This window comes from Homo sapiens, chromosome 2, assembly GCF_000001405.40.
Source record: "Homo sapiens chromosome 2, GRCh38.p14 Primary Assembly".
Taxonomy (NCBI): Eukaryota; Metazoa; Chordata; class Mammalia; order Primates; family Hominidae; genus Homo; species Homo sapiens.
This window is the reverse complement of record NC_000002.12, coordinates 112,034,458-112,061,261: the sequence shown is the minus strand read 5'-3', so window position 1 is coordinate 112,061,261 and position 26,804 is coordinate 112,034,458. Positions and strand designations below refer to the sequence as shown.

At 44.3% G+C, this 26,804-nt stretch overlaps 1 protein-coding gene across 4 annotated transcripts in view, besides 5 other annotated features; it reads right to left on the bottom strand.

Moving 5' to 3' along the window:
- TMEM87B (transmembrane protein 87B) overlaps positions 1-5,993 on the bottom strand; it is a 64,046-nt gene extending 58,053 nt beyond the window's left edge. For all 4 annotated transcript variants that reach the window (XR_923049.2, NM_032824.3, NM_001329914.2 and 1 more), the window contains exons 1-2: positions 5,506-5,993; positions 1,225-1,285 (exon numbers count right to left, since the gene is read on the bottom strand). Coding sequence is in view for 3 of the 4 variants with exons in the window: in NM_032824.3 (NP_116213.1) it covers positions 1,225-1,285; positions 5,506-5,670 (226 nt within the window). In the remaining variant the exon portion in view is untranslated. The remainder of the gene's footprint in view (positions 1-1,224; positions 1,286-5,505) is intronic.
- Positions 474-688: a silencer, noted in NCBI's record as "fragment chr2:112818151-112818365 (GRCh37/hg19 assembly coordinates)". NCBI's record gives its function as "represses an EF-1alpha promoter that drives an FKBP-Casp9 reporter gene in an ReSE screen in phorbol 12-myristate 13-acetate-treated (for megakaryocytic differentiation) K562 erythroleukemia cells {active_cell/tissue: K562(+PMA)}" and the evidence as "EXISTENCE:reporter gene assay evidence [ECO:0000049][PMID:32094911]".
- Positions 4,852-5,191: an enhancer, noted in NCBI's record as "active region_16389". NCBI's record gives its function as "activates an Ori minimal core promoter by ATAC-STARR-seq in GM12878 lymphoblastoid cells {active_cell/tissue: GM12878}" and the evidence as "EXISTENCE:reporter gene assay evidence [ECO:0000049][PMID:35858748]".
- Positions 5,222-5,291: an enhancer, noted in NCBI's record as "active region_16388". NCBI's record gives its function as "activates an Ori minimal core promoter by ATAC-STARR-seq in GM12878 lymphoblastoid cells {active_cell/tissue: GM12878}" and the evidence as "EXISTENCE:reporter gene assay evidence [ECO:0000049][PMID:35858748]".
- Positions 6,022-6,751: a silencer, noted in NCBI's record as "silent region_11869". NCBI's record gives its function as "represses an Ori minimal core promoter by ATAC-STARR-seq in GM12878 lymphoblastoid cells {active_cell/tissue: GM12878}" and the evidence as "EXISTENCE:reporter gene assay evidence [ECO:0000049][PMID:35858748]".
- Positions 6,952-7,001: a silencer, noted in NCBI's record as "silent region_11868". NCBI's record gives its function as "represses an Ori minimal core promoter by ATAC-STARR-seq in GM12878 lymphoblastoid cells {active_cell/tissue: GM12878}" and the evidence as "EXISTENCE:reporter gene assay evidence [ECO:0000049][PMID:35858748]".

Below are 26,804 nucleotides of genomic sequence, written 5' to 3'. Positions count from 1 at the left end.
TACTGGAAACAATAAGAGGAATTGGGCCACAATGAATACGATCCAATGAAAATCCAGTGAAATTCTTAAAAAACCTTGGTAGTTCTGGTATCTCAGTATTGACACAGAAAAGACAGGCCCTACCTAATGAATATTTTAACTTTTATCAACCTTAAAACTCTAATTAAAATGTTGTCCAGCAATTTTTACTTCTTACGAGGATATGTACGTTTTGAAAATTTTCAAGGCCATAAAGGGTTTATCACAATCATGACATTTCATATATTCGTAAAAGCAATTTATCTAGTTTTAAAAATCTGAGACTCAAAGTTAAATTTCACAAAAAACAAATTTTTTTTGTTCGTCTATTAGACTTTAATTATAATTTTCATAAAATGATTCACATTACATTTTCTGAAAGAAGATCAGAAAAATCCATTCTTGTGGGCCATGCACAGTGGCTCATGCCTGTAATCCCAGCACTTTGGGAGGCTGAGGTGGGTGGATCACCTGGGGTCAAGAGTTGGAGGCCAGCCTGGCCAACATGGTGAAACCCCATCTTTACTAAAAATACAAAAATTAGCTGGGCGTGGTGGCGTTCGCCTGTAATCTCAGCTACTAGGGAGGCTGAGGCAGGAGAATCACTTGAACCTGAGAGGCGGAGGTTGCAGTCATCCGAGATCTTGCCACTGCACTCCAGCCTGGGTGACAGAGAAAGACTCTGTCTCAAGAAAAAAAAAAAGAAAAATCCATTCTTGTAAATAACCAAGTGCTGACTGAAACAAAACAAAACCTTAAAATGTTAGAACTACTTAAAAACAAAACATTTGCTTAGTTTATTATATATGTTATATTCATTTACATGAATGTATTTGTTTATATTATGTTGTTTATATATATATTAGTATTTCATTATTCTTGTTTGTTTGTTTTTGAGACAGAGTCTCACTGTGTCGCCCAGGCTGGAGTGCAGTGGCGCGATCTCGGCTCACTGCAAGCTCTGCCTCCCGGGTTCAAGTGATTCTCCTGCCTCAGCCTCCCAAGTAGCTGGGACTACAGGTGCCCACCACCATGCCCAGCTAACTTTTTTTGTATTTTTAGTAGAGACGGGGTTTCACTATGTTGGCCAGGCTCGTCCTGAACTCCCGACCTTGTGATCCACCTGCCTCGGCCTCCCAAAGTGCCGGGATTACAGGCGTGAGCCATTGCGCCCAGTCTAGTATTTTATTGTTTTATTATACTTACCAGATAACTTGATATCTGTAGAGTTAAACATAGTTTTCCTAAATATCAAAGGTCCTGATTTCTAAAATGAAAAACAAACACAGGAAGATCTTGTTAGAAAGTTTTTTTTGCAACTGTTTTACCCCACAACATATAGAGTTCTAAGCCTTGCACTCCTCTCTCTGACAAGAGTATTTTTTTAACGTAAATCTGATCACATCACTAACTTGCTTAAAACCTTGTCATGGTTCTACTTCCTGCAGTTACCCTGAGGATCAGGAGGGCTCTGGCCTCTAGCAGACTCAGTTAGGGCCAGTGACACATAAGAGGTAAAAGATGCTGCCATTGCAGGATTAGTGCTGCTCAGACGTGACATGAACTGACTGCATTTGCATGTTGCTCTCCTGGCGTCAATTTGAATGTACTTTTGATAAGGAACTGTCCCCCTCTCCCAGCTCCAAGTCGTTATGGTTTACCAATGCAATTACAACAGACCGAAATTCTTACTGTAGCCTATAGGACGTGAATAATCAAGTCCTGCCCACCTCTCAACTTTCCAGTTCCAGAAAAGCATGATATTCTTTCCTGCCCTCAGGATTAGTGGTCAACCTGAAAAATTTACTTTAAAATCCTTCCTTTCACCCTTTGTTCATCTAGTTGGCTCCTTCTCACCCTTCAAAGCCCAGCTCAAAAGCCCGTTCTGCAGGAATTCTTCCACTGTGGCCCATATCCGGCCAGGCCCTCCCTTATATAATCCCTAGCACCCTTTCTTCTTCACAACCTTTCCACAATTTAAATCAAATAATTGATTAGTTGTTTAATGTCTTCTCAGGAATAAAAATCCTGCAGTTAGAGACTGTGTTAAATGTACAAATGATTAGGCATTAAAAACAAAACAAAACAAAACAAAAAACACTGATAGGACAAGTGGTAACCTCTTCCCTTCCCCAACAGAGTTTCAACAACAACAATAAAATTCCCAACTTGGATCCTTCCTTTGAGCTCCAGATCCAAATACCCAACTGCCTAAAGGACATGTCCACTGACAGATGTCCAACAGACAAACCTGTTTTAAACCAGACACACTCCTCTCTGCTCACCAACTTTTCCTACATTGTCCACCTTGGCTGGAGGTGGTACCATCTACAGTCACCCAAGCCATGGCTCCTTCCAGTTCCCCACTTCCATCACCCAATCCCCAAGGCATGCCTACTTTATCTCACAAACATTTATCAAATTTAGTTCTTCCTCTCCATCTCTGTCACCACTGCCCTAATTTAGGCCCTCTGCATTTCCTGCCTAATTTCTGCAATAGCTTAACTGGTACTTCTACCTCCAGATCTGATCCTATAATTCATCTTTAGACAGCAGCCATAGTGATTAGCATTATGTCTAAGATCTTTCAATGGCTCCCTCATTCACATCCTAAAGTAGCTACTGGGAGTCTGGAGGTCTAATCCAACCTAAAAATGGGATATACTGGGCCCACAAGAGGCCTTTTTAAAACTTTAGTTGACATAATAAAAAGATGGATTCCAGTCTCACTTAAAAAAACGAGCTGTGGCAATTCTGTGCCCACTCTGCTAGAATGTATGCAGAGTAAGCTGAAGCCAAATGGCAGCTGCCCTCTTCAGAATGGGCATGCAATCTGTAGTCCACAACATTCCTCACTACCCCCTCCAGTCCTGAACTTAGCTCACTGTGCTTAATGATATGACTTGCCTTGGCCAACACAGGTCCTTGAGTTTGAGGCCTCTGGCCTCAGGCTCAAGGCCAAGCTCAGGCATGGAAAGCTTGTGGTGACCTGAGTCCCCTCTAACAACCCTGCCAGAACTTGATGTAGCAGGAACACCAATAATTTCCTGCACTGCTGCTGCTCTGTTCCCCTCCTCTTCTTCATCAAGGTAGTACTTATCCATCTTTTAAGACTGAGGCCGAGTGCGGTGGCTCACGCCCGTAATCCCAGAACTTTGGGAGGCTGAGGCGGGAGGATCACCTGAGGTCAGGAGTTCGAGACCAGCCTGATCAACATGGAAAAACCCTGCCTGTACTAAAAATAAAAAATTAGCCAGGCGTGGTGGCACACACCTGTAATCCCAGCTACTCAGGAGGCTGAGGCAGGAGAATCCCCTGAACCCGGGAGGTGGAAGTTGCAGTGAGCCAAGATTGTGCCACTGCACTCCAGCCTGGGCAGCAAAAGCGAAACTTCGTCTCAAAAAAAAAAAAAAAAAGACTGAGGCAGGTCTCTCCTCCAGGAAGCAGGGTTAGGTGACCCCCTTGGTGCTCCAGTAATATCCCAAGTATATCACAGTGTATATGACTATCTACTCATAAATCTGTTATCCGTATTATTGTGTGAACGTCTTGGGAGAAGGGGCTGTGGCTAAAATTCATCTTTGCAACAGCAATGACCAGTCTAACATATGACACACAGTGGTGCTTCAACCATTTGCTCCCTTGTACACTCAAAAGAACCATTTCTTGGCCAGGTGTAGTGGCTCATGCCTGTAATCCCAATACTTTGGGAGGCTGAGGCAGGAGGATGGCTTGAGGCCAGCAGTTAAAGACCAGCCTTGACAATATAGTGAGACCCCTATCTCTACAAAAAAATTTAAAAATTAACTGGTGTGTGGCATGTACCTATAGTCTTCGCTACGCAGGAGACTGAGACTAGAGGATTGCTTGAGCCCAGGAGTTTGAGGCTGCAGTGAGCCATATGACTGTGCCACTGCACTCCAGCCTAGGTAACAGAACAAGACTCTGTCTCAAACAAACAAAAACAAAGAAACAAAATTTCCTGATAGATTTGCAGTACAAATGAAAGAAAGCCCCACTCTCCTTTCCTGTTTCTGACAACCTGAAATGTGGAAAATATAAGTCCACTCTTGGGAGAGAAGGGCTTTTAGACTTCTGGCGGCCCAGGGTCACACAGGAGTAAAATTAGCCTAAAGGTCATGCAGCACTCAAGGAGCAAACTTCTCTTCCTCATGCAGGAAGAAGTACACTTGGCAAAGATCTTTGCAGGTATGTTCACAGTACACTTAGCAAAGATCTATACAGATATGTTCAAGTAATCCAACAATATGCATGCAACTGATTCACTTCCAATATAGTTATATTGACTATTCACTATCGTAGCAGCAGGAAGCCATGAGAGTAGTTCACTGAGTTCTACTTTTTCCCGTTCAGGAAATTAAATAATGGAGATGTGCAGACTATAACTGGCACACAAATTAGGTCACCAACCCAGAAGAATCCAATCCTGGAGGAAATGGCTGCACTAGGTCTTAAAAGATCCAGAAAGATACCCAGCGTGTTCCTCTGAGTAGCTTTTGTGTTGTGGGAAGTATTTGTAGTCTTTGGAACTACTTTCTTTTTCTGGTTAAGGAAATCAAAATATAAGTCTCATCTTTAGAACCTGGACATTATTTCATGCATGTGGAAAATACCCATCCCAAACAGTGCTGGATGAGTCATCTGACCCCAGAGAAGCCGGAGATAATGCCTCTTCCAGACTTCCTGTCTCTCTTTTGCAAGACTTTCCATAATTCTGCCCCTGCATCTCTCCCACATCATCTCCTCTAATTACCAGACGCCAAGTTTTCTAATAGCCTGCCTTGGAAAGAAGAGTTTCCACCCACTCATGCCTCCAGATTCGCCTTTCAAGCACTCCCTAATCACAAGTCCCGCCCCACCTACACACACACTCTCTCTCCCGGAACTGTGACAGGAACTGTAGAGAAATTCAGGAACTCAAGAAGAGAGAAATAGAGGTAGGGTGACTACTGCACGTTTCCCCCTCATTTAAATTTTTTCTTTCTTTTTTTTTTTTAAGGAAGCGGCAGACCCGCTTTCTAAGTTTATGCAGAAACTGAAGCGCTGGCAAGTCCTCCCTGCGGCCTCAGGGGTGTGGCCCACTGTGGCTGCATCCGGACAGGAAGAGTCGAATCCCAAAGATGCTGCTAGATGTGCCGAGAGATTCCTGATCCAGCCAAAACATGTCAGAGCAGAATGAGGGCCACGGCGTCGGGCATGGTGACCCTCAGTAACAGTCCGAGCGCTCGGACCCGAGGGCCGTCCCATGCGCAATCCTGACGGCTCTTGCCTGCAGCCCAGGTCGGGCCGGAGGAGGGGCCGCTCCCCGCTCCCCGGCTGTAACAGACAAAAGGCTCAGGGAGGGTATCAGGGGACCCGGTGCTGACCCGGCAGAGGCAGGGTGAACAAGCCCGGGGTCAAGCGAAGCCGCACGACGGCCCTGACGGCCCGAGACGTGCCACGCCTGGGTCCCGACACTCCACTTACGTCGTTGACTGTCTCTAACCAGAGCCCGAGCTCAGGGACCGCGCGCACAGCCGCCGGGGTCCAGCACAGGAGGCAGAGGGCGACGCGCAGCAGCGGGGCCCGGGCGGGAAAGCAGCGGCGGCGGCGTGGCAGGAGCCCGGCTACCGAGCGGCAGGCGGCGACCATCTTGACCAGGAAGCTGCACCTGGCGCTCCGAGACGCCTGCCACACCCGCACCTGGTGCAGCACCGCCCCAGGCAGGCGGGTCCGAATCCGGGACGCGGGGCTCGGACTCGGGTGTGGAGGAGGGGCTCGCGCTTGGGCCTGGGCGGAGAGGCGCCGTGCAGTTCTGGGAAACCCGGCCAGGACCGGGAGGCAGGGCTTAGGGCTCTGAGCCGGGCCCGAGCGTGCAGCTGGGAGATGCCTGGAAGGCAGAGATAGGAGCCAGGATGTGGAGTTGGCGGCGAGACGTGGAGGCTGGGCTCAGGGCCTAGCGTGGGCGTGAAGATAGAAGAGGAGCCGGAACGTGCAAGGGAGGGCTGGCAGCCCGAGCGCGGAGGCGGGGCCGGGTAGGGAGGCGCCGCCGGAGTGTGGAGACGAGGCGGGGCTCGGGAGTGTGGGGGCGGGGTGGGAGGCGTGGCTCGGGGCCAAGCTGGGTGTGGGGACAGGGCAGGGTTGGAGGCGGGCTCGGGACTGTGGAGGCGGGGCGGGGCTCGGGACCAGGGCGGAGTGCGGAGGCAGGGTGCCCCAGGAAGGAAGAGCTTGGGGCCAGGCCGAGCGTGGAGGCGGGGCCGTGTGGAGGCGGGGCCGTGTGGAGGCGGGGCCGTGTGGAGGCGGGGCCGTGTGGAGGCGGGGCCGTGTGGAGGCGGGGCCGTGTGGAGGCGGGGCCGTGTGGAGGCGGGGCCGTGTGGAGGCGGGGCCGTGTGGAGGCGGGGCCGTGTGGAGGCGGGGCGGGGCTCGGGACCAGGCCGGAGTGCGGAGACAGAGTGCCCCAGGAAGGAAGAGCTTGGGGCCAGGCCGAGCGTGGAGGCGGGGCCGCGTGGAGGCGGGGCCGTGTGGTGGCGGGGCCGTGTGGAGGCGGGGCGGGGCTCGGGACCAGGCCGGAGTGCGGAGACAGAGTGCCCCAGGAAGGAAGAGCTTGGGGCCAGGCCGAGCGTGGAGGCGGGGCCGCGTGGAGGCGGGGCCGCGTGGAGGCGGGGCCGGGATTTGGAGGCAAGACCCGGCGGGGAGGCGGAGCCTGAGCGTAAAGGCGGGGCTGGTCAGGGAGATGGGGTCGGAGTGGGGAGGCGGAGTTGAGGACCAGGCAGTAGTGTGGAGACGGGGCTGGACGAGAAGGGCTTGGGGTTAGGCCGTAGTGGGGAGGCCAGGTTGGGCGAGGAAGCAGGGCTTGGAGCAAGCCCTAGTACGGAGACGGGACTGGGCGGGGAGGCGTGGCCTGAGTGAGGAGACGGGCCTGAGTGGGGAGGCGGGGCCTGAGTGGGGAGGCGGGGCCTGTCTGGGAGATGAGGCGCAGTGGGGAGGCGGGGCTCGCCGCCAGCGAGCGCGAGTGTCAAGGTCCTGGAGTCGAATGCCTAGTAAGTGCTACGGTTGGAGTGCAGTCTAGAGTTCTGTTCCCAGGGTGTCTCCATTTCTTGCGTCTTCTACACTTACCCCTGCCTCGACCCTCTCAGCTGTATGGAAACCGTTCTTTAAATTCAGGGAATGTGCCAGGAAAGTGCTTTGAGGCCAAGGCCAGTTGAACACAAGGCATTGTGTTGTGAAGGTTAACGTTAATAGGACAGTTAATACTTTTCAGAACAAGTAGTTACTTGACTGGCTTAAAGCTCAGAGGGGTCAGGGCTTGGATCCGTCTTATTGTGTACCTTCCCTTGCATTTTCGGCTGTAAGCTGAATACATGTTTTGCTGTCAAAGAGAATTAGTTCATTCATTATCAAATGTAAATAATATCCAGCAAGGGAATAGAATCCTGTGCTAATATTGTTATTAACGTAGAATAAGATCGATTTATAGTCCAAAGGCCTTGGCTGCTTTACCAGTCACCAGTAATTATTGAGGACCTACTATACACTAGAGATTGCATGTGCATCTTCCCAGTAAGCAACGTGATCAGTTCTGTTTAGGTCAGAATAACTGTAACAGGACCACAGGGGAACATCCACCAGAGATTTAGGAAGTAAGTGAGGGACAGAAGGAGAGAACAATACATGAAATTTAAGTTCTACAAGAAGAGTTAAGGGCGAGTTACCTGTGGGAGTGAGGGGTAAGTCTGAAATCGTTTTAGTTACGAGAGAACTGGAGGAATGGAAAGATCTTCCAGATGACTGGATGTTGGTGTGAGACGGAGAGTGGCAAAGCTGGGAATATTTAAACAGTACCAAAACATACAGGCATTCCTAAATTAAGTTAGGCAGATGGCACCTTTAGTTAAGAACACTGGAGAGGCAATGATTTTTTGTTTTGTTTTGTTTTTGAGACTGAGTCGCGCTCTGTCGCCCAGGCTGGAGTGCACTGGCGCGAACTCGGCTCACTGCAAGCTCCGCTTTCCTGGTTCACGCCATTCTCCTGCCTCAGCCTCCTGAGTAGCTGGGATTACAGGCGCCAGCCACCACGCCAGGCTAATTTTTTTATATTTTTTAGTAGAGACTGGGTTTCACCGTGTTAGCCAGGATGGTCTCGATCTCTTGACCTCATGATCCGCCTGCCTCGGCCTCCCAAAGTGCTGGGATTACAGGCGTGAGCCACCGCGCCCGGCCCCAATGATGGTTTTTAAGTAAGGATGAGCTGATCAGAAAGATCGTGTTGGTTGTCAAATTGGGAAACAGGAGCATAGGAGAGCCAGGGTGACACCATTTTAAAAATAACTCCATCTTAAAACTAGCAAGGTACATTTCTTGCCAGTCACCACCCATGGTCGTAAGATGTTTACAGTGGCTGGGCACGCCTGTAATCCCAGCACTTTGGGAGGTCAAGGCGGGTGGATAGTTTGAGCTCAGGAGTTTGAGACCAGCCTGGACAACATGGCGAAATCCTGTCTCTACACGAAATACAAAAATTAGCCAGGTGTGGTGGCGTGCCTGTGGTTCTGGCTACTCAAAGAAGCTGAGGCGGGAGGATCACTTGGGCCTGGGAGGCGAAAGTTGCAGTGAGCCCTGCACTCCAGCCTGTGTGACAGAGTCAGAACCTGTCACAAACAAAAAAAAGAAAGAAAGAGAAAGAAAGCAAGAAAAGGAAAAAAAAAAAAGGAAAATGAGGAAGGTTAGAATGAACTATAATGCTGGCTTGCAACTGATGATATCAGTGTGAACTCATTTTTAAAATTTAGTTTTATAAATAGATGTAGATATGTGTGTGTGTGTGTGTGTTTATATTTTCTTGCACTGATTCCCAGGAGGACCTAGAAGCAGCGACACCCCAGTAGCAATAGGTACATCTAGCACCAGATCTTGCTTTATAAATATCATTCTCCACTAAAATAAACCAGGGATCCTTGGAGAAGTGGCTGAGCCCAGGAATGGAATAGAGAAATTCATGATGAACTTGAGAATCTTGTTTTGCCAGAAAGTAAGGAAGTGGGTAAAAAATTATGAGGACACGTCAAAAAGGCATAGGAGCCAGTTTGAAGGAGCTCCCTTCCACTTACCAGATCTGGGACAATTTGGTCACCAAAATGATAGTAGTGGATTGTAACTCATTGACTCAAATAGGAATCCATGAGTCTATACTAACATAAATAAATAAATGATTACATAAATAGGAAAGAAAATCACTTTCTTACAGTTGGAAAACTAATAAATGCAGAAGGAATAACAAATTTAAAATATCACCATTTGGCAACTATCACAATTAAAATTGATTCAGAAAGAATCATCAATTCTATTCTAAAGTTAGTTGGCAAAAGCTTCATGAGGAAATATCTTCCAAAAATTACTTATTAATTACAAAGAGAAAAACAGTAATTATACAGTGGAGATACCTGGCAGACACCAACTTAATGATCAAGGTTAATCCCACAAGGATTGGGACAAACAGACATGATATGTATCATGATTTGATTAACTGAAAAGAAACAGCATGACTTCTGTGATATTCCTGCCAAAAATGCATGCCCAAAATGCAAAAATGCATCTAATCAAGCTATTCAAGGAAATGAGGAAAAAATTCACATACTTAAATCTAATCACAAGGAAACATCAGACAACCCAAATTGAAAGACATTCTACAAAGTAACTAGCTGGTATAATTTACCAAAAAAAAAAAAAAAAAAAAAATATATATATATATATATATATATATATATATATATATATATATGCCAGGTTCTTGAAACAGCTGAGGAAGTTAGAGGTTAAAGGAGACCCAAGAGACATGATAACTAAATGTGACATATAGGCCTAGCAGTCTGGAGCCTACACCAGAAAAATTGTTTTTGCTATTAAAATTCTTTAGACAATTGGTGAAATTTGAACAAGGACTTTAAGAAAATGGTATTGTCAATGTGAATTTCCTGAATGTGAAAATGGCACCGTTATCACACTAAGAGAAGGTCCTCTTTCTAGAGAAAAGCACACTGAAGTATTTAAAGGTAAGCGGGCACCACATCTGAACTTATTCTTTGGTGGTTACAAAAAACTTTTTATATATTATATATATAAGCTTTATATATGTATAACATGTATACCATCTCTATCTATCTATCAAGATAATCTAATAAAACCAATTTGAATGAAGAGTATGCAGGAGTTCTTTGTATTCTTCTTGCAACTTTTCTTTGAGTCTGAAATCATTTCAAAAGAAAAATTTCCAAAACTAAGAAAGAAGGGGGTAATCACTCTGTGGTTCTCCCTGTATATATGTTAATAAAATTTATATGCCTTTCTAAGAAGGAGGAGGAGGAAGGAAGAAGGAAGGGAGTATCTCACACCTCTCACATCCCATATAGGGATCCAACTTGGTGTCCTCCACAGCAGATGGAAAATTTATGATTACTTGGTAAAAATAGATTGATAGTCAACTGATTGCCAGAGTGCTTTACTCATTCTCTTTTGAGTCTTATGGGATTTAGAAAAACAAACAAACAAACAAACAAAACAGCTACCATATAATTTTTAATTTGAAAAATTAAATCCTGGAGCAAACAAAAATTGTCCAAAGAACAAATAAGGAAAAATTTGGCAATAGTTGACTGTAAGCTAGAACTGAAAGGCCCCCATCAATAGACCAGTCCTTCCTCTAGTGGAGTTTATTGCAGCTGTTATAAAACTGAATCACAGTTCAGAGGTTGCTGTGCAGGGAAATGAAAAGGCATTTGAGAACACGAAGTATCATGAGATCCTGAATTCAGTGCTATTAATGAGAGACTTTGGGGTATGGCTAACACCAAAAATGAATAGATGCTATTTTTGCATAAAAAGCTGTACATTTGATTCATTGCTTTTAATTAAAATATTGGATTGTATGAGAAATTTTGAGAGTATCATATAAAGCACCTTTTCCACATACTTCCATTTGCCTTCATTTAACTTTTTCTTCCCTAAATCAAAACTGATTTTAGTTTTGAGTTGAGGCTTATGGATATGTAAACATAAAGGTTGTTTTTCTGATATTTCCTCTTCATGTGCAACTTATATATCACATAAATTGTAGGGACCAGCCCCACAGGGTCAGTGGGTCTCTCCCCGTGTGTGGAGATGAGAGAGTGTAGAAATAAAGACACAAGACAAAGAGATAAAAGAAAAGGCAGCTGGGCCCAGGGGACCACTACCACCAAGTCGCGGAGACTGGTAGTGGCCCCGAATGTCTGGCTGCGCTGTTATTTATTGGATATAAAGCAAAAGGGGCAGGGTAAAGAGTGTGAGTCATCTCCAATGATAGGTAAGGTCACGTGGGTCACGTGTCCACTGGACGGGGGGCCCTTGCCTGCCTGGCAGCCATGGCAGAGAGAGAGAGGGCGAGAGAGACAGCTTATGCCGTTATTTCTGCATATCAGAGACTTTTAGTATGTTCACTAATTTTGCTACTGTTATCTAAAAGGCAGAGCCAGGTGTACAGGATGGAACATGAACGCGGACTAGGAGCGTGACCACTGAAGCACGGCATCACAGGGAGACGGTTAGGCCTCTGGATAACTGCGGGCGGGCCTGACTGATGTCAGGCCCTCCACAAGAGGTGGAGGAGTAGAGTCTTCTCTAAACTCCCCTGGAGAAAGGGAGACTCCCTTTCCCGGTCTGCTAAGTAGTGGGTGTTTTTCCTTGACACTTACGCTACCACTAGACCACGGTCCGCCTGGCAACAGGCGTCTTCCCAGACGCTGGTGTCACTGCTAGACCAAGGAGCCCTCTGGTGGCCCTGTCTGGGCATAACAGAAGGCTCGCACTCTTGTCTTCTGGTCACTCCTCACTGTGTCCCCTCAGCTCCTATCTCTGTATGGCCTGGTTTTTCCTAGATTATGATTATAGAGCGAGGATTATTATAATATTGGAATAAAGAGTAATTGCTACAAACTAATGATTAATGATATTCATATATAATCATGTCTATGATCTAGATCTAGTATAACTCTTGTTGTTTTATATATTTTATTACACTGGAACAGCTTGTGCCCTCGGTCTCTTGCCTCGGTACCTGGATGGCTTGCCACCCACATCTTATATATCATATAAATATTAATACTTTTTCTATTTTGTTGAATTTTTATTGTTTACTAATACTTCCTACAGAACACTTGTTATATAACCATCAAAATTCAAGAGCACTAAGAAATGGATAGAATTGTTTCCACAGCAGTAGCCACTTTTCACCAGTAGGTGACACTAGCAGATTGATGATATTTTATATAAAATTGGGTCTTTCCTAAAGGTCTTTTAAATCTAGTCTTGTTTTCCGTTTCTAACTTTAATTGGTGACACTATATTTCTAATATATTTATTTTCAAATTAATAAACTTTATTTTTCAAGCAGTTTTAGGTTCACAGCAAAATTGTGCAGAAAAGTACAGACAGTACCCATATACTCCCTGTCCCCCCACAACCTCTCCCCACTATCAACATCCCACATCACAGTGAGTAGCCCTAATTTAAGACATAAAAACTTTAATTTATTTGGAAGACACTATGTGCCTTACTGAGTGCTGGGTATTGCACAAACAGCTAGTAATGAAGGCAGCAGGGATTTCTGCATTATTAAGGAGCAATTTTATTTGTTAGTTAGTATTTTTTTCTATTTGGCTATAACCAAGTTTCCAAGGAAGATTAGAACTCATGGCATTTAGTTAAGCAAATCAAGCAGCGTTTGGTATCTCCTACATCTGAGGAACTGCCTACATAAGAAGATCCATAAAAGGTAGTCCTTGCCGTCACCGGAGGGGATATGCATGTAAACAGCACGGTGGGAAAGTCCTTAAGTGTGGATATGAGGAGTGCTTTTGGGGAAATGTGGTTACTTTTTTCAAAAGAGGACTTATCTTTTAGAGGTTTCCTTCATTTGGATTTTCCTAGAAGTAGATCCTGAAATAAGGGCTTGAGTGGCAGTAGCTGATTTGAGAGGTAGAGTAAATGCCAGTAGGGGAGTATTATGGGCTGAACCCTGTCCCCTCCACCTCCCAAGTTCTTATGTTGGAGTCCTAACCTCCAGTACCTCAAAATGTGTATTCAGAGATAAGGCCTTTAAAGAGGTTATTACGGTAAAATGAGGTCATTAGGGTAGGCCCTAATCCAATGAGACTGGCATCCTTACAAGAAGAGGAGATTAGGACACAGAAATATGCAGAGGGGAGGGCCATGTGGAGATACAGGGAGAAAACAGCCATCTACAAGCCCAGGAGAGAGGAAACCAACCCTAATGACACCTTGATCTAGGACTTCTGGCCTCCAGAACTGTGAGAAAATACATTTCTACTGCCTAAATCAACCTATCTTCTGGTACTTTGTTTTGGCAGCACTAGCAAACAAATCCAGGGAAAGAGCAAATGTGACAGAGAAAGGAATGCAGACATAAAGGGGACATTATCAAGTCAGCTACCACTGTGGGCGAATGGAACGCAATCCCACAGAGAAACTTAGGGAAAGGTGTGAGACAAACACCATAGAATTATCTCACACAAGGGTGAGGGAGCTGGGATGTGGAGGGCTACGCCGGGGAGAGCACCAATCACACTGGCGGTTCCAGCCCACTATGCGCAGGGCAGAGTGGCTTTTCTGAGCTTTAAGGAAAGCCTTCAAGCAAAGAGATGCAGATCATGACAGCTAGAAGTCAGCTCAGGCACACTGAAATGAAAAGGCAGGATAGACACAGGTGGAGCACTGGCAGGGACCCCTACAGAAACTCACCCTGAAATATTCACAGATGAGCTTACATGATGTCTGGGATTTGCTTCAAAATGCAAGAGGGAGGCTGGGCGCAGTGGCTCATGCCTGTTATCCCAGCACTTTGGGAGGCCAAGGCAGGCAGATCACTTGAGGCCAGGAGTTCAAGACCAGCCTGGCCAACATGGGGAAACCCCGTCTCTACTAAAAATACAAAAATTAGCCAGGTGTAATGGCACGTGCTTATAATCCCAGCTACTCAGGAGGCTTAGGCAGGAGAATTGCTTGAACCTGGGAGGTGGAGGTTGCAGTGAGCCAAGATTGTGCCATTGCACTCCAACCTGGGCGACAGAGTGAGACTCTGTCTCAAAAAAAAAAAAAAAAAAAAAAGCAAGAGGGAGAGAAGTGAGTGGGGGCACAGATAAAACAAGATTGGCCCTGATTTGATCATGTTTTAAAGCCTAGAGATGAAGACATAGGCAGTGACAAAACTATTCTGCCCACTTATATAAGCTTGAAGTTTTCCCTAATAAAACATTTGTTAACAAGTACATTCAAGACTTCTGCTAGATGTAATAATGGGTACCAAATTTACCCTCCTGCCTAGAACAACAACACAAAACCAGACCAAATAGATGAAATAACAGTTCTTAAGACACCGGATATCAGGCAATGAAAGACAGTTACCCCTGAGTGAAGGAAAAAAAAGAAAGTTGAGTCCTATGACTGCCTCAGCTTACTGGCTTGAGAGAATGTTCAGACCACAGCATGGGGAGGAATAACTCTAGCAGAGCCGGGCAGATTCCCTGAGTTGAGAAGACAAAGCTGGGAGTTCAGTGTGAGCAAAGCAGCAGTGGTTTGCAGGACAATATATATGGAGAGGTGAGAGTGGTACAGAGAGAGTTCTTGAGATCTGCAAAAGGTCCCCTTTAAATCTTCAGCAGAGAAATTATCAGCCACTGTATGTGAAGAAACTACATGAAGTAGAGGAAAGAGTCAGCAAAAAAAAAAAAAAAAAAAAAAAGAAGAAGAAGAAATAGTATCACAACAGGCTGGGAAAATAGCCTGTTCTCACCAGCTAACCTAGAAAACTTCCTAATTCACAGGGCATTGGTAGAATACTCAAAAAGGTCTTGCCTCAATAGTACAGAGTAATTAGTTTTAGACTAAACAGGGCTTTAGTCTCTTTTTATTTTTTCACCTCCTCCCAGATGAATTGAGCCTCAACAAACAAATCTTTAAAGCAAAACCCAAATGAACCAAACAGTTTCCACGTAACTTAATTATGCCCTAGAACAAAGCCCAAGAATATTTATAGGAGTACAAAAATCTGTAACACTCAACTAGTAAAATTGTAATGTCTGGCATCAGTTGGAGATTACTAGGCATGCAAAGAATCAGGATACTGTGAGACATAAAGAGGAGAAAAATAATCAGTTGAAACTGGCCAGAACTGACACATATGTTAGAATGAACAAAAAAGTCATTAAAAATTATAACTGTATCCTATATGTTCAAAAATTAAGTAGAAATATTAAAAGAAAAAACATGAAATCCAAATTTCTAAAGATGAAAAATGCAATGCCTGAAATAAATACACTGAATGGGCTTAATATAGCAAATTGGCTACTGCAGAAGATAAGATTAGTGAAACTGAAGACATAAGGATAGAAAATAACCAAAATCTAGGAGAAAAAACTTAAAAAATTAACAGACTATTAGTGAGTATTCAAATGGCCTAATAAGATTAGTAAAACTGAAGACATAAGGATAGAAAATAACCAAAATCTTGGAGAAAAAACTTAAAAAATTAACAGACTATTAGTGAGTATTCAAATGGCCTAATATATGTGTAATTGGCTCCAAAAAACAGTGGAAAAAATAGAAAAATATTTGAAGGAAGAATGGTTGAAATGTTTCTAAACTTAATGAAACAATAAACCCATAGATCCAAGAAGTTCAATTAGAGCTAAACAAAAGAAACATGAAGAAAACTGCTTCAAGGCACATCATAAGCAAATTGCACAAATCAGTGAAAAGAGAAACTCCTAAAAGCAGTTAGAGGGGAAAAAAAGACATGTTTGATACAAGGGAAAGAATAAAGAGAAGGATGACATCAATTTTTTAGAAACAATGTAAGCAAAGAAGACAGTAGGGGGCCAGGCACAATGGCTTATGCCTGTAATCCCAGCACTTTGGAAGGCCAAGGCAGAGGGATCACTTGAGGCCAGGAGTTTGAGACCAGCCTGGTCAACACAGTAAAACTCTGTCTCTACCAAAACTACAAAAATTAGCCAGGTGTGGTGACACATGCCTCTAATCCCAGCTACTTGGGAGGCTGAGGTACAAGAATCACTTGAACTCGGGAGGCAGAGGTTGCAGTGAGCCACGATAGTGCCAGTGCACTCTAGCCTGAGTGATAGAGTTAGACTCTGTTTCAAAAAAAAAAAAAAAACAGCGTGGGGACATCTTTAAAGCATTGACATGGGCAACCCCCTTTGGGTCCCCTCCCATTTTATGGGAGCTCTTTTTTCACTCTATTAAATCTTGCAACTGCACACTCTTCTGGTCCGTGTTTGTTACGGCTCAAGCTGAGCTTTCACTCGGCATCCACCACTGCTATTTGGCGCCATCGCAGACCTGCCACTGACTTCCATCCCTCTGGATCCAGCAGGCTGTCTGCTGCGCTCCTGATCCAGCGAGGTGCCCGTTGCCCCTCCCAATTGGGCTAAAGGCTCACCATTGTTCCTGCGTGGCTAAGTGCCCAGGTTCATTCTAATCGAGCTGAACACTAGTCGTTGGGTTCCACGGCTCTCTTCCGTGACCCACGGCTTCTAATAGAGCTATAACACTCACCACATAGCCCAAGATTCCATCCTTGGAATCCATGAGGCCAAGAACCCCAGGTCAGAGAACAAGAGGCTTGCCACCATCTTGGAAGCAGCCCACCACCATCTTGGGAGCTCTAAGAACAAGGAGCCCCCGCCACCCCCGGTAACATTTTAGCGACCATGAAGGGACCTCCAAAGCGGTAATATTGGACCACTTTAGCTTACTATCCTCCCTTAGAATTGGAGGAAAATACCAGGCACCTGTCGGCTGGTTAAAAATGATTAGCATGGCTGCTGGACTTAAGACTCACGTGTGAGGCTGTCTGGGAAAGGGCTTTCTAACAACCCAACCCTTCTGGGTTGGGAGCATTGTTCTGCCTGGAACCAGCTTCCGCTTTCAATTTTCCTGGGGAAGCCGAGGGCCAACTAGAGGCAGAAAGCTGTTGTCCCGAACTCCCAGCATTAGCCAGTTGAGATCATGGTGCAGCCAGAACTCTCTACTCAACAGTTGCCCATGCATGCACCCCTACCTTTCTTTCTGACCCATACATCCTGGGTCCCAACCACAACTTTCTTGAAAGTGTAGCCCCAAAATTCTCTTTACCTCTGAATCTACTTCCTCCAATCCCTGCCTCCTAGGTACTAATGGTTCAGACTTTCATTTCCTCTCCCAAGTATTAGAGCAAGTTGTATCTCCAAAGGGATCTAAGGAAGCTCTACACTGTGTCCTTAGGCATCTAGGCTATGAACCCAGGGAGTCTTGTCCCTGGTGTCCCTCCCAATTTAGGCATATAGCTCTCGACATGGGCAGTTATGTGGGACCCGTTCCCCACCACCCTTGCCAGGGCCCCAAGTTTGTAAATGGCTATGAGGATTGCTCTCCCATTGTGTAAGATGCTCTCTTCCCCCAATTTCTACCCAGCTTACCCCTCTGCAATACAATCTCCAAGTCTTAGCTCCTTGGCCAGGGCCTTAGAACTGATGACCCAGTACTTTAACAACTGGAACTGGGTCTACAACAACATAACAGATCAGGATGAAAGCGACTTGAGTAAGTCAAGGAGAGAAGAGACAGAGAGAGAGAAAAGAGAGGGAGAGAGAAAAGAGAGATAGAAGTAGTAAAGAAAAAACAGTGTGCCCTATTCCTTTAAAAGCCAGGGTAAATTTAAAACCTATAATTGATAATTGAAGAGCTTCTCCATGACCCTATAACACTTCAATACTACCTTGTTGTCAGTGTAAACAAGGGCATTGCCTGAAAACACTGAGACCACTGACAAACAGTAACCTTCCTGTCAAAAATCCTTAACCCAGGAACCCGCGGATGACCCAAATGCATTCAATCTGTAGCAGCAACTGCTTTGCTAACAGAAGAAAGTAGAAAAGTAACTTTTAGAGGAAACCTCATTGTGAGCACACCTCGCCAGTTCAGAATTATTCTAAGTCAAAAAAGCAAAAAGGTAGCTTACTAACTCAAAAATCTTGAAGTATAGGGATAGTCGGTTAAAAAAAAAACAACATAACATTAACCACTGAAAATTCCCTTAACCCAGCAGATTTCCTAACAGGGGATTTAAATATCAATTACCATACAAAGGCCCAGCCAGACCTAGAAGGAACTCCCTTCAGGACAGGACAATAGATGGTTCCTCCCAGGTGATTGAGGGAAAAAAAAAAACACAATGGGTATTCAGTAATTGATAGGGAGACTCTTGTGGAAACAGAGTTAGGAAAATTGCCTAATAATTGATCTGCTCAAACTGGGAGCTGTTTGCACTCAGCCAAGCCTTAAAGTACTTACAGAATCAAAAAAAAAAATTCTATCTCAATCCTGACTCAAAAGGTTACCTACACCCTCTGAAATGAATTTCCATAAGAACTGTTGTTTATAGGAATGCATCTTAATGGGGCAGCTGGGTTGTTATGAAATACTCAGGAACCCAGCCCAGCTTTAGGACTCACCCCTGAGCACAAAGGCAATGTTGGGCACGCTGGTAAAGGACCACTAGAATCCAGCAGCCTGGACCCCTTTCTTTGTGGTCAAGAAAGGCAGGAAAACAGGTGCAGGACTGCTACATTGGTGAGCGTAACTACTCCAATAAGCAGAAGTCCATGGGTGATTACGCACACTGGAAAGGAATAAGCATTAGGACCATAGAGGATGCTCTAGGACTAATGCTCATTGGAAAATGACTAGGGGTGCTGACATCCCTATGTTTTTTTTTTTCTCAGATGGGAAACGTTCCCCACAAGGCAAAAACGCCCCTAAGATGTATTCTGGAGAATTCGGCCCAGTCAGAGTGTATGTACCTTTTTCCCTGTCAGACTCGAAGCAAATTAAAATAGACCTAGGTAAATTATCAGATAACCCTGATGGCTATATTGATGTTTAACAAGGGTTAGGACAATCCTTTGATCTGACATGGAGAGATATAACGTTACTGCTAGATCAGACACTAACCCCAAATGACAGAAGTGCCATCATAACTGCAGCCCTAGAGTTTGGAGATCTCTGGTATCTCAGTCAGGTCAATGATAGGGTGACAATAGAGGAAAGAGAACAATTCCCCACAGACCAGCAGGCAGTTCCCAGCATAGACCCTCACTGGGACGCAGAATCAGAACATGGAGATTGGTGCCGCAGACATTTACTAACTTGTGTGCTAGAAGGACTAAGGAAAACTAGGAAGGAGCCTATAAATTATTCAATGATATCCACTATAACACAGGGAAAGGAAGAAAATCCTACTGCCTTTCTGGAGAGACTAAGGGAGGCATCGAGGAAGCATACCTCCCTGTCACCTGACTCTATTGAAGGCCAACTAATCTTAAAGGATAAGTTTATCACTCAGTCAGCTGCAGACATTAGAAAAAAAAAAACTTCAAAAGTCCGCTTTAGGCCTGGAGCAAAACTTAGAAACCCTATTGAACTTGGCAACCTTGGTTTTTTATAATAGAGATCAGGAGGAGCAGGCAGAACAGGACAAACGAGATAAGAAAAAGGCCACTGCTTTAGTCATGACCCTCAGGCAAGCGGACTTTGGAGGCTCTGGAACACGGAACAGCTGGGCAAATGAAATGCCTAATAGGGCTTGCTTCCAGTGCGGTCGATGAGGACACTTTAAAAAAGATTGTCTGAATAGAAATAAGCCACCCCCTCATCCATGCCCCTTATGTCAAGGGAATCACTGGAAGGCCCACTGCCCCAGGGGATGAAGGTCCTCTGAATCAGAAGCCACTAACCAGATGATCCAGCAGCAGGACTGAGGGGGCCTGGGGCAGGTGCCAGCCCATGCCATCACCCTCACAGAGCCCCGGGTATGCCTGACCATTGAAAGCTAGGAGGTTAACTGTCTCCTGGACACTGGCACGGCCTTCTCAGTCTTACTCTTCTGTCCTGGACAACTGTCTTCCAGATCTGTCGCTATCCGAGGGGTCCTAGGACAGGCAGTCACTAGGTACTTCTCCCAGCTGCCAAGCTGTGACTGGGGACCTTTACTCTTTTCACATGCCTTTCTAATTATGCCTGAAAGCCCCACTCCTTTCTTAGGGAGAGACATCCTAGCAAAAGCAAGGGCCATTATACACTAGAATTAGGAGAAGGAAAATGGGTAAATATATATACAGACTCTAAGTATGCTTACCTAGTCCTCCATGCTCACGCAGCAATATGGAGAGAAAGGGAATTCCTAACTTCTGAAGGAACACCTATCAAACATCAGGAAGCCATTAGGAGATTATTATTGGCTGTACAGAAACCTAAAGAGGTGGCAGTCTTACACTGCCGGGGTCATCAGAAAAGAAAGGAAAGGGAAATAGAAGGGAACCGCCAAGTGGATATTGAAGCCGAAAGAGCCACAAGGCGGGACCCTCCATTAGAAATGCTTATAGAAGTATCCCTAGTATGGGGTAGTCCCCTCTGGGAAACCAAGCCCCACTACTCAGCAGGAGAAATAGATGGGTTTCACTCGCATCCACCTCTGTGGGAAGAGACCACCAAACAGGCTTGGTGTGAGCAACAAGGCTATTTATTTCACCTGGGTGCAGGCGGGCTGAATCCGAAAAGAGAGTCAGCGAAGGGAGATGGGGTGGGGCCGTTTTATAAGATTTGGGTAGGTAAAGGAAAATTACAGTCAAAGGGGGGTTGTTCTCCGGCGGGCAGGGGTGGGGGTCACAAGGTGCTCAGTGGGGGAGCTTTTGAGCCAGGATGAGCCAGGAGAAGGAATTTCACAAGGTAATGTCATCAGTTAAGGCAGAGACAGGCCATTTTCACTTCTTTTGTGGTGGAATGTCATCAGTTAAGGCAGGAACAGGCCATTTTCACTTCTGTGATTCTTCACTTGCTTCAGGCCATTTGGATGTATACGTGCAGGTCACAGGAGATACGATGGCTTAGCTTGGGCTCAGAGGCCTGACAATGGGGAACCTCATGAGGACATAGTTTCCTCCCCTCAGGATGGTTAGCCACCAAAGAAGGAAAAATACTTTTGCCTGCAGCTAACCAATGGAAATTACTTAAAACTCTTCACCAAACCTTTCACTTAGGCATTGATAGCACTCATCAGATGGCTGAATCTTTATTTACTGGACCAGGCCTTTTCAAAACTAACAAGCAGATAGTCAGGGCCTGTGAAGTGTGCCAAAGAAATAATCCCCTGCACTGCAGGCCATACATTTCAATCCCTGTATCTTTTTAACCTCCTTGTTAAGTTTGTCTCTTCCAGAATCGAAGCTGTAAAACTACAAATCGTTCTTCAAATGGAGCCCCAGGTGCAGTCGAGGACTAAGATCTACCGCAGCCCCCTGGACCAGCCTGCTAGCCCATGCTTCGATGTTGATGACATCAAAGGCACCCCTCCCGAGGAAATCTCAACTGCATGACCCCTACTGCGCCCTAGTTCAGAAGGAAGCAGTTAGAGCAGTCGCTGGCCCGCCTCCCCAACAGCACTTGGGTTTTCCTGTTGAGAGGAGGGACTGAGAGACAGGACTAGCTGCGTTTCCTAGGCCGGCTAAGAATCCCTAAGCCTAGCTGGGAAGGTGACTGTATCCACCTTTAAACACAGGGCTTGCAACTTAGCTCACACCCGACCAATCAGGTAGTAAAGAGAGCTCACTAAAATGCTAATTAGGCAAAAACAGGAGGTAAAGAAATAGCTAATATCTATCACCTGAGAGTACAGGGGGAGGGACAATGATTGGGATAGAAACCCAGGCATTCGAGCCGGCAACGGCAACCCCCTTTGGGTCTCCTTCCATTTTATGGGAGCTCTGTTTTCACTCTATTAAATCTTGCACCTGCAAAAAAAAAAAAAAAAAAAAAACGTTGACATAAAAAATTCTTTCAATCTACAATACTATACCCAGCAGAAATATCTTTCTAAAGCAAAGGAGACAGTGATGTCAACAAAATGGCAGACTAGAAAACTCGAAGGATTGTTCTTCACTTCAGAACATTGAAAAAACAAGCAGGAACTGTCTGAACAAACTTTGTTGGTGCTCTGGAAAACAACCCAGTGTTAACAGCAACCAAGCAAATGCCCAGTCAAGAAAAAGACATCTTGGCTGGACATGGTGGCTCACGCCTGTAATCCTAGCACTTTGGGAGGCCAATATGGGAGGATCACTTGAGGCCAGGAGTTCAAGATCAGCCTGGTCAACATAGTGAGACCCTATCTCATTTTAAAAAAGAAAAGAAATGAAATGAAATCTTCAAAGTGGTTGAAAAGTTTTGTAGTGATTTTATCTTTGCCCAGCATGACCCCACCCCCACCCACTGCTGCAGTGGCAGTCTCAGTCTTGAAACTGCAGAAGCTGGATTCCCAGTTCTCTCTCTCTCAAAGCAGAGGGGACAGAGCAGAGTTTATTTACAAATTATTATGTACACCTGTTCTAACTTCTCCACGGGATATCTGAAGGGTGAACACAAGGTGCTTCTCTCTGTCTTCCCTAACTTGGAACTCAGGAAGAAAAATGGTGGGTATCACTCATAAAAACTGCCAGGTGACTACAGACCCATGGATGCCTAAGGCAAGAGATTCTGGGTAGAGACGTACGATAGACCATCAAAGGCCTAAAGGAGAATCTGGGGTGAGATGTTTTTGGGAACTTAGGACATGCAAAAGCAGCCATGTATACCAAGGAATTTAGAAAGCCACAAACACACCCAGGCAAAATCTATGCTTAGAAAAGACTTGAGAAGATACTAAGTGTTCACTGAAGGCTGACCCTAGGCTCAGGGTGAGCCTTGCTAAGTGCTGAAGGTGCGTCCCAGCATAGAGCTAACTTGCAAAGATTGGGAGAGGTGGTTGGTTTTTAGTTTTGTTGTTTATTTTGAGTTTTATTTGTTTGTTTCAGCTCCAAGTATTAAATGAACTCTCTGTCAAAACATATAAATTCAGTTTTGTGAGAGTTTTTATTATGAATGAATGCTGATTTTTACAGATATTTTTTCTGTGTCTACTGAGATAATCATGTGGGTTCTTCTCCCCTTTATGCTATTTGTTTGGTGTGAGTCATTATTTTTTACAATGATTTAATTAAGATATAATTCACACATACCATAAAATTCACTCTTTTTTATTTGTGGTAAAATATACACAACATAACATTTATCATCTTAGCCATTTTTAAGTGTACGGTTTTATAGCATTAAGGAAATTCACATTGTTGTGCAACGATTACCACTATCCATCTCCAGAACTTTTTCATCTTCCCCAGCTAAAACTCTATACTCAGTAAACATTAAGTCCCCATTCCTTCCTCCCCACAGCCCCTGGCAGTCACCATTCTGCTGTCTCTATAAATCTAATTACTCTGTGAACCTCATATAAGTTGAATATCATACAATATTTACTCTTTCCTGACTGGCTTCTTTCACTTAGCATACTATCTTCAAGGTTCATCCATGTTGTAGCATGTGTCAGAATTTCCTTCCTCTTTAAGGCTGAATAATATTCCATTGTACATATATACCACATTTTGTTTTATCCATTCATCTATTGATGAACATTTAGTTCCTTTCTATCTTTTGGCTATTGTGAATAGTGCTGCTATGAACATTTATGTACAAGTTTTTATTTAAAGACGTGCTTCAATTCTTCTGGCTATGTAACTAACAGTGGAATTGCTGGGTCATATGGTAATTCTATGTTTAACTTTTTGAGGAACCGCCAAACTGTTTTGCAAAGCAGCTGTACCATTTTACATTCCCATCAGCTGCCTTAATAAAATAGCATAGACTAGGTGGTGTAAACAACAGAAATACAGTTCTGGAGACTGAAAATCTAAGATCAAGGTGCCAGCAAGGTTGGTGTCTGGTGAGGGTTCTCTCCTTGGATTGCAGATGGCCACCTTCTCAATGTGTGCTCTCATGACCTATTCTTTGTGCATGCATGCAGAAAGAATGCAATTGAGCTCTTTGGTGTTTCTTCCTATTAAGGACACTAATCCTATCAGATTGGAGCCCCACCCTTTTGACCTCATTTAACATTAATTATTTATTTAGAGGTCCCATCTAATAAAAATACAGCTGGGATTCAGAGCTTCAACGTATGAATTTTAGAATTTAGAATAATTGGAACCCTCATTCACAGCTGAATTATGAACTGAATGTTTATAATTCAGCCATGAATGAGGGTTCCAATTATTCTACCTCCTTTCCAACCCTTGTTGTTGCCTGTCTTTTAGATTATATCCATCCTAGTGGGTGTGAAGTGGTATCTTGTGGTTATAATTTGAATTTCCCTAATGACTAATGATGTTGAACATCTTTTCATGTGCTTATTGGCAACTTATAAACCTTCTTAGGAGAAATGTATATTTGAATCCTTTGCCTATTTTTAAATTGAGTTATTTGTCCTTTCATTGTTGAGTTGCAAGTGTTCTTTATATATTCAGGATATACATCTCTTTTTTTTTTTTTTTTTTTTGAGACAGAGTCTCACTCTGTCATCAGGCTAGAGTGCTGTGGCGCGATCTCGGCTCACTGCAACCTCCAGCTCCCTGGTTGAAGGGATTCTCCTGCCTCTGCCTCCCGAGTAGCTAGGATTACAGGCATGCTCCACCACACCCAGCTAATTTTTTTGCAGGATATACATCTCTTTTTATCTAGCGTGACAACCTTTGTCTTTTTACCGGAATGATTAATCCATTTACACTTACTGAATTATTTACTCCTGGATAAACAAGAAACTTCCTGAACTTGCACTGTATTCTGCAAGCCACAGAAAGCAAAATGTAGAAATCATACTGGCTCAAGATGTTTAAGCACAACCTCTGACCAATCAATCGGCTTATTACTAAGCTACGTTGATCCAGGGGTGCCTTGTTGAAAGTCAGGCTTCAACATTTAAAAAAGTATAATTTTTAAAAAGCAACTGAGCAGAGACATTAGTGCTCAAACACTACAGGAGAAACACCATCTATAGAATTAATTCAGGCAAATTGCTAAACAAACACACAGTGATAATAACCACCTCTGGGAGAGGGGTACTTTAGAATCCAGAGTTTCTGAAATCTATGATCTGAAATATCCAGTTTCAATAAAAACATACAAAATATGCAAGTAAACAAGAAAGTTATCTCATGGAGGAAAAAAGCCAATAGAAACTGTCTCTGGCGAGGCCTAGATATTGAACTTAGCAGATAAATGCAGTATGTGCTGCATAGCAAGGTTTTGGCCAAAGTCAAACCACATATCCAACTGTGTTCTGATAAGATTGTAATACAGTATTTTTACTGTCATTTTTCTATGTATAGGTATATAAATACTTGCCATTGTGTTACAATTGTCTTTAGTATTCAGTAGAGTACACATGCTGTACAGGTTTCTATAGGAGCAATAGGCCTAGGAGCAATAGGCTATACCATATAGCCCAAGTGTGTAGTCGGCTATGCCATCTAGGTTTGTGTAAGTACACTCTATGATGTTCTCACAATGATGGAATCGCCTAACAATGCATTTCTTAGAATGTATACCTATCGTTAAGTGACACATGACTGTACTTCATTATAGAAAAGCATCTATTGGTAGGCCGGGTGCGGTGGCTCATGCCTATAATCCCAGCACTTTGGGAGGCTGAGGCAGGTGGATCACCTGGAGTCGGGAGTTCGAGAGCAGCCTGACGGACATGGAGAAACCCCAGCCCCACTAAAAATACAAAATTAGCCAGGTGTGGTGGCACATGCCTGTAATCCCAGCTACTCGGGAGGCTGAGGCAGGAGAATCGCTTGAACCTGGGAGGTGGAGGTTGTGGTGAGGCAAGATTGCACCACTGCACTCCAGCCTGGGCGACAAGGGTGAAACTCCATCTCAAAAAAAAAAAAAAGAAAAAAAGCAAAAGCATCTATTTGCAAATATGTTTGGAAAACTAAAGAACACCACGTTGTATATTTTTGAATTTAAAATTAAACAGAGAATATCAATTAAGAGATAGAAGTGATTAAAATAACTGAATGGAATTTCTGGAGTTGAAAAAGTACAATAACTGAAATGAAAAACTCACTAGAGGGCCTCAATAGTAGCTGTGAGCTGAGAGAAGAAGAATTAGCAAACTTGAAGATAGATCGTTAGAGATAATCTAGTATGAAGTATGGATGAAAAAACTGGCGAATTACACATTTTTATGATGAGAAACTATGTTTGTTAAAACAAGCCATTACTACTTGTGGAGTTAAATCAGCAGCCTGCATCCCCTTGAACTGCTCAGACTGTGGTATAATGGGATTTTGATTTTTAAGCCCCAGCTGATGGCCCTTTAATTTTAAGTCATGTGGGGCCGGGCCTTGGAGCTTGCTTCCAGGAAAGGCATTCTGTCCCTTTTCTGGAGGTTTCTTGTAGAGTCTCTAAATAGCATCTACAGGTGTGGCTGCTCTGCTTCACTATGCTACGAATGGACTTCAACAAAATGTGGAAGTCAGAGTATTCTGAAGAATATTCTTTAAAAGAAAATGATGGCTGGGTGTGGTGGCTCATGCCTATAATCCCAGCACTTTGGGAGGCCGAGGTGGGCAGATCACGAGGTCAGGAGTTCGAGACCAGCCTGGCCAATATGGTGAAACCCCGTCTCTACTAAAAATACAAAAATCAGCTGGGCGTAGTGGTGTATGCCTGTAGTCCCAGCTACTTGGGAGGCTGAGGCAGAAGAATCGCTTGAACCTAGGAGGCAGAGGTTGCAGTGAGCCGAGATC